This window comes from Homo sapiens, chromosome 12 (genome assembly GCF_000001405.40).
Source record: "Homo sapiens chromosome 12, GRCh38.p14 Primary Assembly".
Taxonomy (NCBI): domain Eukaryota; kingdom Metazoa; phylum Chordata; class Mammalia; order Primates; family Hominidae; genus Homo; species Homo sapiens.
Window position 1 is genome coordinate 58,612,483 of NC_000012.12, and position 17,876 is coordinate 58,630,358.

General features: G+C 37.9%; 2 long non-coding RNA genes across 2 annotated transcripts in view; one reads left to right on the top strand and one right to left on the bottom strand.

Annotated features, from left to right (window-relative positions):
- The window catches only part of LINC02388 (long intergenic non-protein coding RNA 2388), a 215,758-nt gene that overhangs the window by 46,524 nt on the left and 151,358 nt on the right, over window positions 1-17,876 (bottom strand). The window contains exon 2 of the long non-coding RNA NR_120452.1: window positions 4,453-4,646. This is a non-coding gene — a long non-coding RNA (long intergenic non-protein coding RNA 2388). The remainder of the gene's footprint in view (window positions 1-4,452; window positions 4,647-17,876) is intronic.
- Window positions 1-17,876, top strand: part of LOC100506869 (uncharacterized) — a 220,968-nt gene that overhangs the window by 20,781 nt on the left and 182,311 nt on the right. The gene's annotated exons all lie outside the window — the stretch shown is intronic.

Consider the following 17,876-nt stretch of genomic DNA (forward strand, 5'->3'; position numbering starts at 1 on the left):
GTAGTCTCAGCTACTCAGGAGGCTGAGGCAGGAGAATGGCGTGAACCCGGGAGGCAGAGTTGGCAGTGAGCCGAGATCGCGCCACTGCACTCCAGCCTGGGCGACAGAGCGAAATTCCGTCACAAAAAAAAAAAAAAAGAAATTCAGGAGGTGTTTCTCCCTCTTTAAAGGTCTCCAGTACTTTTTCATCACACCCAGAACAATTCCAGAGCCCAATTCCTGGTTCTCTACCACCACTCAGACTATTTCCCCAACCACTCTGACCCTCCCCCACTGGGCTCCTGCCATACCAACCTCCTGCTTGTACCTTGAAGGCCTTGAGCACACTCCCTTCCTGGGGCCTTTACATGTAAAATGATGCTTATTCAGATATTTTCCTGGCTCTATCCTTTGTTTTCTTCAGGGGTCTGCCCAAATGTTGCTGTATCAGAGAACCCTTCCCTGCCCACCCTATGGGTAATGTGATGCTTTCCCACCCAAATCATGTTCTGTTCCCAGTACTGCTTTATTTTGCTTCATAGCACTTATTGTCTTCCCACTAGCATGTAAACTTCATGAGAAAAAGGGCTTTGTTTTGTTTACTTCTACATCCTCAATACCAAGAACACTGCCTGGCACATGAGAGACATTCAACATACATTTGTTGATTAAGTGAATGAATGAATGAATTGAAAGAGTTCAGCTGTTAGGGGACTATTTGCTTTATCTCTGTGAATATCAGAGTATAATCATTGCCTTACAATTGGTTAGCATTTCAAAGCATTTTCATATACATTAACCCATAAAATCCTCAGAAGATACAGGGGAATTTGTAGTACACATGTTCACTCTGAAGAAAGTGGGTTAGACACAGGTAAATTAACTAGCCCTAGGTCATATAGTTGTTTGTTTTTTTGTTTTGTTTTGTTTTGTTTTTCAGACAGAGTCTCACTCTGTCACCCAGGCTGGAGTGCAGTGGCATGATCTCAGCTCACTGCAACCTCCGCCTCCTGGGTTCAAGTGATTCTCCTGCCTCAGTCTCTCGAGTAGCTGGAACTACAGGCGCACACCACCACACCCGGCTAATTTTTGCATTTTTAGTAGAGACGGGAGTTTCACCATGTTAGCCAGGTTGGTCTCAAACTTCTTATCTCAAGTGATGCATCTGCCTTGGCCTCCCAAAGTGCTGGGAGTACAGGCGTGATCCACCATGCCCGGCCCCCTAGGTCATATAGTCAATAAATGATTTGTCAGAGCTGAAACCCAAGCATGGTCTTTCCGTTAATCCAAAGGTCTTTTCACAAAGTGACACTAACCTTGCTAAGCCTTCATAAATTTGGAGAGCCATTTCCCTAACTTGATGCATGATGCATATTTAATATATCATCTCATTAGGTAAGAGTTGAGTGTCGGTTGAGAAAATAGACCCCTTTGAGGTTTTGTCTTGGGATACCAGTTTCAAGTAGGGAGTTCTTCAGGTTTGAGTGAAAGGTTTGTATTCTTGCTGACAATCAAACAGTAGAATGTACTTGGGACTATCTCAAAGAGACATCTGTTCTCAGAGAGTGTTATGTGACTTTGAATGTCATTGAGCATTCCAACCCTGAAGGAATCATTTGAATATTCTCAGATTCAGACTTCTCTTTGACTGAAACATGAAGTCTTTGAAAAGAAATTAAAACTTTCCCTGTTAGTTATTTTAAAGGGTAAATAAGGTGGAAAAAGGTGTTCTTCTATGCTTTCAAGAAACATTAGAGAAGCCAGCCCGAAACAGCATTATCATGCAGGAAGAGGACCCAGTACCATGGAAGAGAAAGCCTATTATGAGGAGAGAGGGAAAGGATGCTCATGTGTGTTTAGTTTCTATTATCCATTGAGCATGGTTTCCACACTTTATCTGTGATCAAGTCGATGTGTAAACCTGTACAGGAGAAGGAGGAGGAGAAGAAAGTGGGAAAAGGAACAGAAGCAGCAGCCTTGTTCCAGGGCCCCATTGGAGGCCCAAGCCTCTTGAGGTTTGTGGGTTTGCCATGGGATTGACATCAAAGATTCCTCTTGCCTCTGTGCTTCCCACTCCTAATTAGCCAAGAAGCATAGAATAAGCATGCTCAGAAGTTCATAGGGGCTATGGAGGACACACAAGATGTATAAGTTGTATACCCTGCCCTAGAGACACTATTGCTAGAATGATAGAGTCTTTTTAAAAAGATTAGAGAAGCAACGTTGGCGATATATATTGGCACATGTTCCTCCTGACTTCTTTGGAAGCTCCGTCACTTGGATACTCCTATGGACAAGCTCCAGAAGTTTATAAAGTAGCCTTTCAGCATCTGACACAGCCTCTGTACATTCCAGCAGTAAGAAGCTAGGATTCATTCAACATCCCCCTGTCAGCAAGTATTTATTGGGCATCTACTATTTGCCCAACACAATGCTGGGCACAGAAGCACCATGTAGGCAGAGCCCTCTGTAGAGCAGAGGCGTTCCCTCGGGTTTTCCCTGCCCTCCATTCCCTGCTTGTTGCTGGGAACTTTGCCTTTTTGCCTTTTAGCAAAGCCAGGGGACCAATCACTAGATGCCCATGGAATGACATTTCATGTTCCTTGGAGGTACAACTGCTTGACAATCAGCCTGGGAGCCTAGAAACAGACCTGTCCAGCAGCCTACATATGGTAGAGAAATTTATTACTATTTCCTATTTCCTCCACAGGAAAAAAAGAACTATAGCCTGTATTTTGACATTTTAAAAAGACTTACGGGAGTTGTGCCACATCAAATGAGCTGACGTTATGATATGCTGACACTAATGTTCAACAAAGCACATTTATTGCAGAATTTAGAGGCCAGTCACATACTTCCAAGGTTTTTTATTGCTATTATTTCTTCTTGGGCTTGCCTATCTTGAGGTTTTCAAGAAAGAAAACTCTTGAGCTTTTTTTCCTGAGAAATCAGCTGACATGGTGCACCTTGGGCATATTCTCTTATCTCAGTTCACCAATGTGGCTGATAAATCATACAAGGGTTTGTAATTATTTCAGTACCTTCCTCTGAAGTGTAATTCAAAGTATTCTAGTTTCAAATCCTAATTTTAAGGACACTTTGAGGAAAACACATTTATTTTTGGAAATTTAGCAATATTTTGCTTGTTTTGTTCTGCTTTGGTATCCATAAAACATATTTTCTATTGCAGAGAACAATCTGCAGTAGTTGAAGTGCCTAATGTCAACCAATGTTGAGCATCTACTCTGTGTTCATCCCTGTGGAAGAATTCAATTCAGTCCAATAACCCTTTGATGAGGACCAGTCATGTGTATAACCCCAAGGCAGATGCTGCAGGGCACATAGAGATGAACTTAGAGTCTGGGAGAGAATACAGGACATGCACACAAATAACTATTATACAAGGTTGGCATTGTAAGAAAGGCACAAACCAAGTGCTATAAGGCTTTAAAGGCATATATCTGCTAGACTGTAAGCTACATGAAATCTCAGTTTTATGAGACACTGTATCATCAGTGCTTTCATCATCACCGGGCATATGGTTGCTTCTCAATAAATACTTTTTGACTGAATAAATAAACTTTCTATTTGGGGGTAAAGGTGAGGGATCAAGGTTAGACAAGACTCCAATGCAGAGTCTGAATTGACTCTTAAAAGATGGGGAGAGTTTTCAACAGCTGCTGGAGGTAGGAGGAGGGTGTTCCAGGTGGAAGGCAAGGCATCTGTTAAGTCCTGGAGGCTGGCAAGCCTCTGGAATGCTTTGGGCAGTATTTGGCTCGAGTTTATGGTACATATGTACAGGGGAGTAATGGGAAGAAAGGCAAACAGCATTTGTTGAGGCCAAGTTATGGTGACCCTACATACCAAGTTGGAACTTTGATTTTAATTTGTACACATTGAGGAAATAAAGTATTTTGAGAAGGAACTTGGCATTTTCTGAACCATGATTTAGGAAAACTTATATGGTAATTATATGTAAAATATAGATTCCAAACTTGAGTCTACACCAGGATTAACTGGGAAGCTTTTTAATTATACAGATTTCTATATCCCCCAAGACCTAATGAATTGGGATATTCATTGTCTGTATTTCTACCAAGTTCTCAAGGTGATAGCCAACCTCAAAGTGCACAGAATTCAAGATTACACGTATCTGGGGCTAGTTCTTCTGGGATCTTGGCATGGGAAGAGAGAAGAGGGAACAAGATTGCAGATTCATAGGGTTATCTGTGAGAAAAGGCCAAAGAGAGAGAAAGAGACTTCTGAGGTCAGAGTCTACAGAGCCCTGCAGCAGAAGGATAACAATCATGCTTGAGTCATGAGCCAAGGAAATAATGATTGAGAAGAGAATAGAATCTAAGGGATCTGCAGGTGGGAGTCTAGCCACACGAGCAGAGATGAGAATGAGCAAGCAGAGGCATGAGGCATGGCTGCTGGGAGCACAGGTACATCAACATTTTCCTCTCCACCTACCTGGCAAGCCTCAGGGAAGCACATCCCAGCAAGCAATTGAGTACATCAACCATTATTTCCCCATTTCAGAACTTTCATTTGTGTTTAGTGGAGATCTGTGTGATAACTCATATGCACTCAGATAAAGTGTCAATAAGAAGTTGTGGTAAGGGTCCTCTAATCCACTGATTTTTTTTTTTTCTGATTTGAGAAGCCTGCAATAAAAATGCGAGAAGACTTAAACTTATTTCAAGGGCAGTTCAAGAACTGCAGAATTCACAGCATCACTGTTCTGCAGTCATAGTATAATTTTCTGTATGTAATAAAAGACACATGAAATACAACTTGAAAAATAAAAGGCTTCAAAGATTTATTAACTCTTTGAAATGTTATCCTAAGTAGTATGTTAAAAAGTCCATTGTAAAGAAAGCTATGAAAATTGGAAGGTATTACACCATAACTTTATTTCTTTTAAAACAGCAAAGATTTATTTAGGCACTAATGGCCAAATAGTTCAGTTTTGAAAAGTGGGGCCTGAATGATATAAAATAGTGGAAAGAACTACGCACAGGAGACAAAAAGAACTAAATGATAATACTAACAACAATAACAGCAACAATGCTACACTTAATTTTGTGAATTCCTATGTACTAGCTACTGCGCTAAATGCTTCACATGCACCCGCCTGTGTAAATCCTCACAGTAACTCTGTGATGTTGGTATGACTATCATCCCAATTTCACAGGGGACATATTGCAGTTCAGCGATGGTAGACAACTTTCTTATGCTCAAAAACCTTCTGAATGGTAGTGGTAGCACAAGCTGAATCTAAACGCATGCCCCTAACCAACATTTTCTGACTTTACTAATAACCAGCTGTGTTTTCCTGCTCTACATAAATCACTCCTTGAATCCTCGCAACAACTCTAGGAGTCAGGTACTATTATTACTTTATTCGCGTTTTATTGTCTTTTCATTTTATAGGTGACATCACCGGGGCATAGGGAACTTAATGAACATTCCCCACATTATGCAATTAACAAATGGAGAGGCTAGAATTGGAACCAGATATGTTAACTCAAAGTCTGTCTCTTAGTTTAGTGACACGTATACAACAACAACAACAACAACAAAAGATAGGGTATTTTCTAGTGTTTGCCACTAGGTTCTACTCTAATTACTACTCTGTTCAATATTGTTACCAATATTGATGTCACAATGCTGTAGAATTGTAGTAATTAAATTGAATGATTGACTTGGGATTCAAATAAAGTCTAAGAGACAGACGAAAAAAATGGAATCTAACAAAAGGATATGTAAGTGAGATGAATATCAGATCTTACTCATGAACCTAAAAGCATGACTACCCCGTTTAGCAAGATGGAGCCAAGAAAGAGATGAGGATCTTTTCGTAGATGATAATAGGGGAGTTTTAGGTGACATTAAGCACAATATGAGTCAAAGGTGGTTAAAAGCAACTTGCTCCAACTCCTCAGCATCAACAAACCAAATGTCAACTTAGGGCAGTGATAGAACCCTTCTGCCTCCCTGACTGAGACTAATTGGAAGAAATCTGGAGTGCTGCATTTTGGTCAAAGCATAGAAGTGTAGCATGCTAGGAAGATGAAAGGACTTAAAACCATGTTACCGAAGAGTGGTTGAAGAAACTGAGGATATTTAGCCAAGAGGAGAAAAGACATAGAGGGAGAGCTAATAGCTCCTGTCATGTGTCTGAAGGACCTCAGAAAAAAACAAAAACAAACAAACAAACAAAAAAGATTATTTGATTATCTTTCTCCCCTTGGGGCCAAAATAAATAAATAAATAAATAAATAGATAAATTTAGCTTAATAACAGAAAGATCTTTCTGGAAGTTGAATCTTCAAAAAGATGGAAATGATTGACTCAGGAATTTTTGCACAACCCAGCTGCTTATTACAGTCATCTATGGGACTTTCTAACACTGTAGATACCAAGGCCCCAACTCCAAGGAGATGTGGAGAGATAATTTTGTATTTTTTTAAAGTTCCACAGGTGATTATGATGTTCAGTTAGAATTTAAAAACACTCCTTTGATGGATAATGGTAATAATAACTATTTATGATGATAACTATGCACCAGGGATTGCACTACATGCTTTATATATATAAAATTTCATTTCATTCTCATCTCCAAAGTTTAATGTAGTAATGATGATCTCATTTTACTGGTGGATGAACTGAACCAAATTAAAGTACTTGCCCAAGGTTTCCAAGGATGGTAGAGGTGATAAGGAAAATACATCCACCTGGTTAGCAGGGGAGGTTGGAGGTTTCTGGCAGGTGGAGATCCAGGCTCAAACCCAGGACAGATGAATATGAGAGTGAATCACTCCATGTGCTTTGAGATTTAAATGACAGGATGAAGTCAGTCAAATTTAAGGGAGATTCCAAAATGAAAAATTTGTAATTCTGTCACTGAGAGCTCCAACAGGCAACAGGTCTTCAGGTTAAAGTTTATAAAAATAATCGAGTTTATAGAGATATTTCTATGGCATCAGAAATACCCATATCCTGGTAAGATTAAGGATAACTAGGCCAGATTATGATGAGAATAGATGTATGCAAAGGCAAATACTGCACATCAAAGAGTTCTAGGAAACGGGAAACAATATTTGAGAGACAAAACTGAAGGAAAAAATTCAGAAAACAGTAGACAAATCTTGGGAGTCTTCACTACTTTAATCAGGTAAAAATGATTCCCTGAAGTGAAGTTCTGAGAAGACCTGTTGGCTCAAGAGACAAATACAGTCTCTCAGTCTCTCTCTCTCTCTCTCTCTCTCTCTCTCTCTCCCTGTCTTATCTCTGCGGTAAGCCTCAGTTTTTCCTATTTAATGTAAGGATTTGCCATATAGCATGAAACATGATGGCATGAAGCATAGCTGCCAGCAACCTCAGATTTGCACGCCTCTAGCACTGTTTCTTGAGAGGCTAGAGAGAATTTCCCCTGCAAGGTCCAGCTGAAAAATTCTGTGGAAGCTTTTTTGTTAGGTGGGCTTGAGTCATGTGCTCATCTAGACAGTAAGATTGACTGCAAATGGGGTCATATTCCCAGAAACGTAATCAGGGGTCAGGATACCAAAAAGTCTGGAAAGATGTTGAGGGGGCTGTGAGACAGACAAAGAGAGTAGCCATTTGAAATAGCAAACGTTATACTTAGCAGTGAGCCATTAGGAACTGTCCAATTAGAGTTAAGAAAAAGGCACAGATATTTCTTGTTAGCACTATTACTTAATATGGTTCTGGAAGTTCTACCTTATTAGCTAAGGTAAACAACACCAAAGAGTACTGAAGTACAAGTATTGAAAAAGTAGAGACAAATATATTTTTAAAACATATTTTTGTAATAGTCTCGCAAGTTCTGAGGGGTTTATCAGGGGTTTCCACCTTTGCTTCTTCCTCATTTCTTTCTTGCTGCCACCATGTAAGAAGTGCCTTTTGCCCTCTGCCATGATTATGAGAGACTTCCCCAGCCATGTGGAACTGTGCATCAAATTAAACCTCCTTTTCTTTCCAGTCTTGGGTATGTCTATCAGCAGCGTAAAAACAGACTAATACGTGGGTGGATCCTTCACGAACAGATTACTGCCTTCCCTGGATGAATTCTTGCTCTATTAGTTCCCATAAGAGTAGGTTGTTAAAAGGAGCCTGACACCTCCTCCCCTCTCTCTCTTGCTTCCTCTCTTGCCATGTGGTCTCTGCACATGCCATCTCCCCTTCACTTTCTGCCACCAGTGGAAGCAGCCTGAGCTCCTTACCAGATGCACATGCTCATGCCATGCTTCTTGCACAGCTTGAAGAAGTGTGAGCCAAATAAACCTCTCTCTAAAATAAATCACCAAATTACCCAGCCTCGGGTATTCCTTTATAGCAACACAAATGGACTTAGACAGTATGATTCTTTGAGAATAATTTAGCGATGCTTGTCAACATTTAAAATGTGGTTACTCTTTCCCTTCCCCATGGGAAGACAAGGCCCATGTCTGATGTCAAGGCCATGTGAGCCCAGTCCCACAGCACTGTCTGATCTCTGCTTTGCAGCTCATACCCCCACAATCACTCCTGAGACCCCTGGCCTCTGGCTTCAGCCTTCCAGCCTCTGTTCCTCTAGTAAGGGCCTTCTGTGTCCACCTCTAACCCAGGCCCCAGGGACCCAGACCCAGGGTGGAGATGGATGTCCCAGCTGGCATGGCTGGGAGCTGCAGACCTATCCTCCTGGTGGGCCCAGAGGCCCCTTGAGCTTGTGGAGCCCCACCTTGGGGTGCTGCCTGCCCATTTCTCTCCCAGGGAGCCCCAGCCCCTGTTGGGCCCAGGGACACTGGCTGGGCTCTGTGCTGACCCTCCCGTTCCACTCAGCCCTGGCCTCAGCAGCGCCACTCCTGCCTCCACCCTCTGAGCTTTGCATGTTCCACTAACCCGGGCAGGTGGCAGGTGGAGGTGTCAGGCTGCCAGCACCTCTGCAAGGGCAGAACACTAACCTGACCATGGGCGGGGCTTGCGGCATCCACCCCCAATAAAAGCAATTCCAACCTTAAATAAATAAATAAATAAAATTAAATTAAATTAAATAAAATGTGCTTACTCTTTAATCTAGCAATTCCACTTTAGGAATCTATATTATATATGTAAAGGTTAAAAAAACATGTTTAGAATTTTCCTAGAACAAACACCTAGAGAGAATGTAAATGTTCATAAATAGGGAATTGATAAAAATAATTATGGTACCTCCATATTATTGATTACTCTAAAGATTTTTAAAGGAATAAAGTACATTTTATTGACTAGTATGGACAGTTTTTGGTTATATATTTTTTAGTAATAAGACAATTTATAGAATATATGGGATATAATCCAATATTTGTTTAAAAATGGAAAACATGCCTGTATATATAGATAGATGTTTATGCACATATCATAGGCCTTGTTAAATGCACAGGAAGCTTTAATGGTGTTTTCTTCTAGAGAATGAGAGTAAGGTATGATTTTATTTATTTTTTTCAATGTGCACATAAGTATTTTTTGAAAAAAAATAAAGCCAGTAATTTTTCTAAATTTAAAAGTTTGACAAGTACAATTAATTTTCAAGTTTTGACTACTTTCTTTGATGTTATAATGCTTTATATTGAGAACTTTACATGTATGTAGTATTTTCACATGCATTAAAAATATTGAAATGTATGCTTTGAGGATATAACAGAAAGGAAAGGTTTGAGGCACAGAACTTTATCAGAATATAGAATTGCTTTTTAAAAATTCTTACTGAAACTGGTGGAAATATTTAGCTCCATGAGCAGAAAAGAATTCATGGAACCATTATATTCTAACCTGCTCTATCCACTAGAGACTGTCATGTAAATGTCTGACAGAGCTATGCATATGAGAAGTTACACAACATCAGTATTCATTAAGAGGGGTCATTCAGTACAAAGTGAGCTCATTTTTACCAATATAAATGTGCAGAGATCGAATGAAGGAAAATCAAAGATAAAGGAAAATCCAAAGTGTGACCTTGAGCCATTGCCTGTGGATATAGTCTTGTTTCATCAATGTCAAGAAAAGCAAAGATAACTTTTAAGTTATCTTGGAGCATCAGAGCATGCCAATTACCTTATGATTCTACCCGCGATGAGAAATCAAACTAATACATACCTGCCTATTTCATAAAGAAGCATAATCACTTCACGCAAATGACAGGAAGAACCAATGTGGGTTACAGAATTTTGAGTTTAGAAAGCATTCAAAACAAAATGACAAACAAGAGTCAACCACAATTCATGACAGGGTTGTGCTAATTGATCTGGACAGAATTCTTCAGAATATGTTACTTACAGACACCAAGGTGTCATAGAGAAAAGGAGAATAGTCAGTGGCATGTGAATAAAGTGTGGTGATTTGCACTTTATCCATGCCCCATCTAAATACTTTAGCCTCCCTGTTTGCTGAGGTTAATAATGTTAATAATGAAATTTCTCCAAGTGGCAGGCAAGGCAGGTAAGGAAAAATGAAATATGTATCAGATTACAAATACGAAATTTTCCTGGAGTCTTCTTATTTCATGTAAGCCTGTATCAATATCAGTGCCCCATTTAGAAGTCTTGACTCTTCGTTTTTTCCTTCTCCTATTTTTCTTCATTTTTTCTTCTCCTCCTTCACTCTTAAAAAAAATTTCTTTTTCCTTTCCATCCTTCTTTTTTCCTTTTTCAAAAATACACTACCTCTTGTTTCCAATAGGCAGCACCTGTATCTTTTTTTGGTGAACTCTCCTCATGCTGCCACAGAGCACATTGCCTACATCCCTAGAGAGCCAAGAGTACTTAGAAAATTCCATGAGCCTTCAGGTGGTCCTAATTCAGTGGGTGCTGAGATATGAAAGCCCACCTCCCTTATTTTTGTCAGAACAACTTTGAGGCATAACTCACACTCTATAAATCCCTTGGATCAGTCTGAACACCCTTGAGGGACCTTGAGATTGCACCCTCACTTGCCTTCTTCCCCTTCATTGTTCTGTTTCCCCTATTCCCCTTCCATGGTGTTCCTGGGGAACTTCCTTAATTAATCACTTGAGCACACATTTTTATTTTGGAGTTGCTTCACTTAGAAAATAATTTCTTCCGTCAAAAAAGTTAAATTGGCAGATATCTGAAAAATGTAATTTTTTAAATCTTCTAAAAATGTTTCCTTTAAATATATTTTTATTCATCAAAACATCTGTGTTTTGATAAATATACACACCTGTTTTGATGAATATATATACTCATAAATATATATGTCTACTGTGTACCCACGAAAATTAAAAAAAATACAATATAAACAGTAGATTGAAAAAAATTGTTTTGTCAGTTGGTATATCCAGATTTTTAGTCGAGAAAAATGTGCCCATCATAGCTATAGGTAAAGCTTAAAAGAATTGATGTGACAGATAATACTATTATGAATCTAACCAGGATGGAGTTTAATGATGGAAATCTCCCTCCCATCTCACCTCTCACTTTAGATTTGCAGAAATCCAATTCTCCATGTTGTATTTTTTCCTTGTTCACTTAGCTTTTACATACACACAAATAGGATTTTATTAGTGACTTACTCATGAACTCAACTTATTTTTCTTGAGGCCACTGACCCAATGTTCTTTGTGCGTTTTTGGTACTTCCCAGGAGTAACTGAAGTGCAAAAACGGGAACAAATGTTAAGATCTCTACCTACTAACAAAAGGTTTAGGAATCTGTGGTATACTTCATTCTAAAAGAGAAGTAAACTTGTATTTTCCAACTAAAAATGGTGAAACAAAGGAATTTCCAGGTAACTCTCTCTCATGGACAATTTGAGCATTCTGGTTAAACAAGGTGCTTTTTCTTTATACTGCTGCATACATCTTTTACAAAAAGGTTAGTGTCTAGTCCTGACATCTGTTGCATACATTTTTTTTTCCAGAGGGTGAGATTTGATAGTTCTGTTTCGATCAACATTAGGTTTCTCAGTTTTTGAGCAATACCCGCCAAATGAAGGGATGTAAATATGATGTCTCACTTGGAGGGGCATTTAATTACTCTGATATTTGGAACACAAATGTCTAGTTTACTTAGAGTCCTTTTCAGATAGGCACTTATAGGACTACATTTCTATTCAAGTATGAACAGAGAAAGCTTGATTTTTTCTAAGAAAGTGGCTAGTGGGAAGTAATACATCTGAGGCAACGGATGAAATACTAGTGAAAATGTGTCCACTTTTGAAAACTCTCATGCTGCTTCACTACTTCCTGTCTCTCGCTATGGAAAGACTTTCTCCTCTCTTTAACCTAGCAAACTGCTACTTATCCCTTTTCTCTGTGATGCTTTTCTTGATGCCCCTTGACAGAGATAGCTTTTCTGACTTCTGGTTCTCTTATTGTTTTCTATATAATACCCTTATTATAAAGCAACTATCATATATGTAATTTAATATTGTATGAATTTGTTTACCTATTAAAATGTATAATCTTTGAAAACAAATGCTGATTCTTGATTTATGAATCTCCACATTTTAGCACAATGACTGACAAATATTTATTAAAAGATGAATGGATAGGTGAATAAATGAACAAATGATCAGAAAATGAAGTTATTAATAGAGAGGGAAAGTAAAAGATAAAGAAGTGCATGGGCAGAAAATATGTGCTCTAAGAGATTGATTAAAGAACTATGTCTTTTAGGCTGGGGTGATTAGAGACAGTTCCATAAAGGAGGTTGGATTTAAATTAGGACTCAAAGGATAAGTAAAGTTTTGCTAGTCCAGTGATCAATGATATTATTTATCAAGGTGCTTTCAGAGGCATTAGAAAATGCCATAAGCTGTGTTTCAGCCCATTTTGTATTGCTATAACAGAATACCTGCGTCTGGGTAATTTATTTTTTTAAAAAAGAGATTTAGTTGGCTGATGATTCTGGTGTCTGGGAAGTCCAAGAGCTTGGCACCAGCATCTGCTCAACTTCTGGTGAGGGCCTTGTGCTGCATCATAACATGGCAAAGAAATGGAAGGGGAACCAAGCATGTAAAAGGCGGGCAATACAGGAAGGGTGTTCTCATTTATAACAACTTGCTTTCACAGGTACGAATCCATTGCAGTGAGAACTAATCATGTGTCACAAGAGTAAGAATTCACTCACAACTTCAAGAATGGCACTAAGCCACCCATGAAGGTGGATCTTCCATGACACAAATGCCTCCCATTAGGCCCCACGACTTAAAGGTTCCACCTCCCAACATTGCTGCATTGGGAATTAAGATTCCAATATGAGTTTTGGTCGGGACACTCAAAGAATAACAAGCTACAAAGACTACATTAAAACTTATTATAATATATTGATTATACTGAACTGCTTGTAATTTATACTCCAGAAAATATTTACAATGAAAAGAAAAAAAGAAGGAAAGAAAGGGAAGGAAGGAAGGAAGGAAGACTCAAAACAGTAGCAGAAGTAAATGAAAAATTTAGGTGGATGATGATAAATCTTCCTAAAGTATATTTTTAATATTAATAAACTTAAATACTCATAAATATTTTCAGGGAGAAAAAGAAATTCTAAATGTTTTTTAAATTTTATTTTTGGTCAAGGCAATCATTTGATTTGCAATTTTTGAATGTAATAATACTGGCCTCATGGTCCACTCAGGGAGTAATTTTAAGTTACATGGCTTGAATCAACACAACTATTCATTTATATGATTAGAATCTAAAAAACTTGATACCTCCAAATGGCACATGGTCATCATCTCTTTTAGTTCTTTTATTTGCAAAATTACTTTATAATTCTTTATTTACAAAATTCAGAATTATGCTATAGGTTCTGGAGAGAAAAAAAGGCACACCACTTGCAGTAATGCCATTTTGTTTATTTATTTTGAGCAATCCTATTTATTCTAATCGCTATTTCTAAGTGCATACTTAGAAAAATGTCAGAAACAAACAGAATCAGACATAAAGTCTAGGTTCAGATTAGAGAAATTGTCCAGTTAGTTTCATATTTATCTGGAGGATTGGCTTCCAAATCTCAAAGCTGTCAGACTGAATTAACAGTTATTTTATTAATGTTTTCAAGTTCAAGTTCATTTGCATATATAATACAGCTGTTGTGTGGCTGGCTTTCGAACCAACTGATCTAAACAAGTAGGGTTGGTGTGGCATTAGTGGCAGTCTTGGAGGACTGCACCCTCCCAAGTCAATTTTTAAATGTAATTCCTAAGTGTGCATACTATTAATCTGGCTTCAGCTGGGTAATTCGTTTTCTGATTTCCATAAGTGAAGCAAGTAGTCCTGAAGGTTAGCTTCCACCATATTTAAACAATTCTATTACCAAAAAATTTTGTAGTGAGCCTTATGATAGAACTGACTCTCCCATTAAGTGGGGGAAACTAGGTTAGCTTATCCAGTCTCTGACTTTTGGTGTAAGGTTTGAAATGCCATTTAGGAAGGACATCTTACATTTTACTATACTGTCTAAAGTTTACTGGGCAGATCAAGGGGAAAAATGAGGGACATTTTAAAAATTGGAAACTTTACTATTATATGTATTCTGCCATAGGTGTGGGTGTTACTCAAAGCAAAGCAGTCACATCATTTCAGCCTTGTTATGGTAGAGAGACACATCAAAGAGATTGTCTGAATGATGCCACTCAATTACCCGAGTCATGGTTTTTTTTTCTTTAAAGATACTAATTGTTGCTCAGTAACTGTGTCTTAAGTGCTGTGCTATGTGTTTTGTATAGATTGTGTCATTTAATTCACTCTATGACTTTATGAGACAAATTCAAATAGAATTCCCATTTGATAGGTGAATAAACCCAGGCTTAAGTAACCTCTCCAGGGCCACACAGATGCTAAGTGGGAATACTGGGATATGTGCTCAGGCAGTTTGGTTCTAGAATATGTACTCTCTTGAACTTTGTATTTATTTAACCTTTAGGAACATTACCAAAATTAACCACCCTGATGGTGTAGTTATATGGCTTAGTGGAATGTTGGCTGGGACACCTGGAGTTCAAAGATAAGTCCTGGATTTATAGGCTTAGCAACTAATTCAAATCAGCCAACCTCAAAAGAGCTGAGCTTATCACACAGAAAGACCATTTAATAGTTTCCAGTGGGTGGTCTTTTCCTTTCCTGTGACTGGAATGAGCAGTGGTTAATAGTATGGGCATTAGCCTGTATTATTTTAGCCCTAGATTTGAATTAAGATCTACCACTTACTAGCTCTGTAACCTTGGCCAATATATTTATCCTCAGTTTCCCCATGTATAAAATGAAGGTAATAGTCCCATTTCATTAAATTGTCATGACTTAACTCATATAAAATGCTTATTATGGGGCTAGAATCATAGGTGACCTTTAATAAGTAGTTATTAATTAAAGATCATGGGAACACAATCTGTTTCTGTTATCCTGGTATCTGGAAAATCACATAAATAATCAATAGATAGAAAGTCATATCTGATAAAAAAGAGTTGCTATTCTTATGGAACATTTTATTCAAGCTTGGCTAAGTATTCTTCCTTCTTTCATCACTGTGTCTACCACATTAGGTACTAAAATACTCATGTCTTCCAGCATCAGTTTCTTTCCTTTAACCAGTGCTGGATAAACATGAATACATTCCTAAGCTTTAACTCTACTTTTACAAAATTTATATTATTACAAATTTCTTCATGAAAGGAATACTGTATGCCCTCAATTTGTAGATGCCATCTATAGTTAAATAGATGGATTTAAAAATCCATTAAAAAATAGTATGGATTAAAAAATATTTTTAGGAGAAAAAAGAGTTGATTCGTTATGCATTCATCATTTTAAAAAAACTAACAAAAACTAGCTTACATTGATCTATACTACTACATATTACTTTCTTCTTAAATATCACGAATTATAAGCCATAACTTTTACATTCAGAATATAAAATTTCATCTAAATCTGTAATCCCAGCACTTTGGGAGGCTGAGGAGGGTGGATCACAAGGTCAAGAGATAGAGACCATTCTGGCCAACATGGTGAAACCTCGTCTCCACTAAAAATACGAAAATTAGCCAGATGTGGTGGCGCATTCCTATAGTCCCAGCTACTCGGGAGGCTGAGGCAGGAGAATTGCTTGAACCCAGGAGGCAGAGGTTGCAGTGAGCCGAGATCGAGCCACTGCACTCCAGCCTGGCTACAGAGTGAGACTCCGTCTCAAAAAAATAAAAGAAAATAAATTTCATCTAAATCACTTTTTGCCATCAGCACTTAGGCATAACCTCATGGTGGCACACTGTTTCTTTGTAACACTCACTCATGATCTTTAACTCTTTAGAACTTTAAGAATTTACAGTGTAATTTTAAGTCATATTTAAAGTATGCAAGGACTTATTCTGTATTTTCTATTTGGTTTAGCTCATAGTTTCATGTTTTTCATTATGTAAATTAATTGCTACTAAAGCAAGTTAGTGTCTTATGGAAGTCAGCTGAAAGTTTTTGAACAAAAGGTATTGAATTCTCTAGGTTGCATAAATTTGTTATATAAAACTCGCCTGAATTTGGAAATTTCATGATCCGGTACAGAGATTAACAAACTATAACCTGCAGGCTGAATCTGACTCACTAACTATTTTTATAAATAAAGTTTTATTGAAATATAGTTATGTCCATTTGTTATTTTAGGGACTGTGGCTGCTTTCACACTATAATAGCAGAGCTGAGATGTCACAGAGCCTATATGGCTTACAAAATTTAAAATATTTACTGTCTAGCTCTTTACAGAAAAAAATTGTGGGCTCCTTAATCTAGTCCAAGAGATTTAGTAATTTCTAAAGCCGACTACACAGTAATTTTCTTTCATTATCTCCTCCTTATCATTATTATTAACAACGTATCTAAGAGGTATAACTATGTGTCCCAACATGAATTATTTTATTTAATACTTATGTAAAACCCCTTATTTTTTGGATGAGGTAGTTGAGGCTTAGGAGGTTAATTATCCAGGTACATAAAGGTATCTAAGAGGTAATGCTAGAATATATAGCATTATAAGCTGATGAGACAGAAGTAAATTAGCAAGGAAATGTGCATGACTTATGATTTGGAACAGTTGGCCAATCAAGGGTAGAAGTGGGAGGGCTACAAAAAGATTGAGCAATGTTTCAAGGCAAGATGAGTTGAAAGGAGTAACATGAGAACATGTACCAGAAAATAAACTATTTTCCATAAGTGATTCCCAGTTTCTTTACACTTTCTAGTTACATTATACAACTTCACTAAAGTGTAAGCTCTGCGAGAGCCAGAACTTTTTTTTTCACTGTTTTATCCTCTGTGCCTAGAGTAGTATGCATTTAATAAAGAATTGCTGAATAAATGAATATGTTATTTGACCACAAAAACTGGGAAAAGGCAGCTAATGGGACAAGCTAAAAAGACACAAACACCAAAGACATTATCTCTGGTGAAACACCCTTTGTCTATTTGGAAATATTGACAACTGAAACTTATCAGGTAAGTGGCGGGGAAAGAATAATAAGTTGTGGTTTCCATAGCATCAGGTTTTATCATAATTCTTGGTCTGAAAGCAGATGTTGAATTTTTTTCTGCTTGTATTATTCAAGGACTCTGGGCTACAAGTAAAAAAAGAAAAAAAAGTACAAATTTGCTTATGTAGAAAGCAATTTGCTAGTAACATTTGGACAAGGTTTCTGTTCATCTCTGTCTTCAGTTTGTTTCTGGATGTTGGGGCTATTATCTTCTACCATAGACTAGCTTCTTTTCAGGTAAGAAGACACAGATGACCAGAAATCTGGAACTAACATATTAACCTTCCATAGCCGGAGAATCAAAGTTTCTTTCCTCCATAGGAAGAGAATTTCATCTAATCAAGTCTCTACCCATTACCACTGGAACTACCATTTCTTTT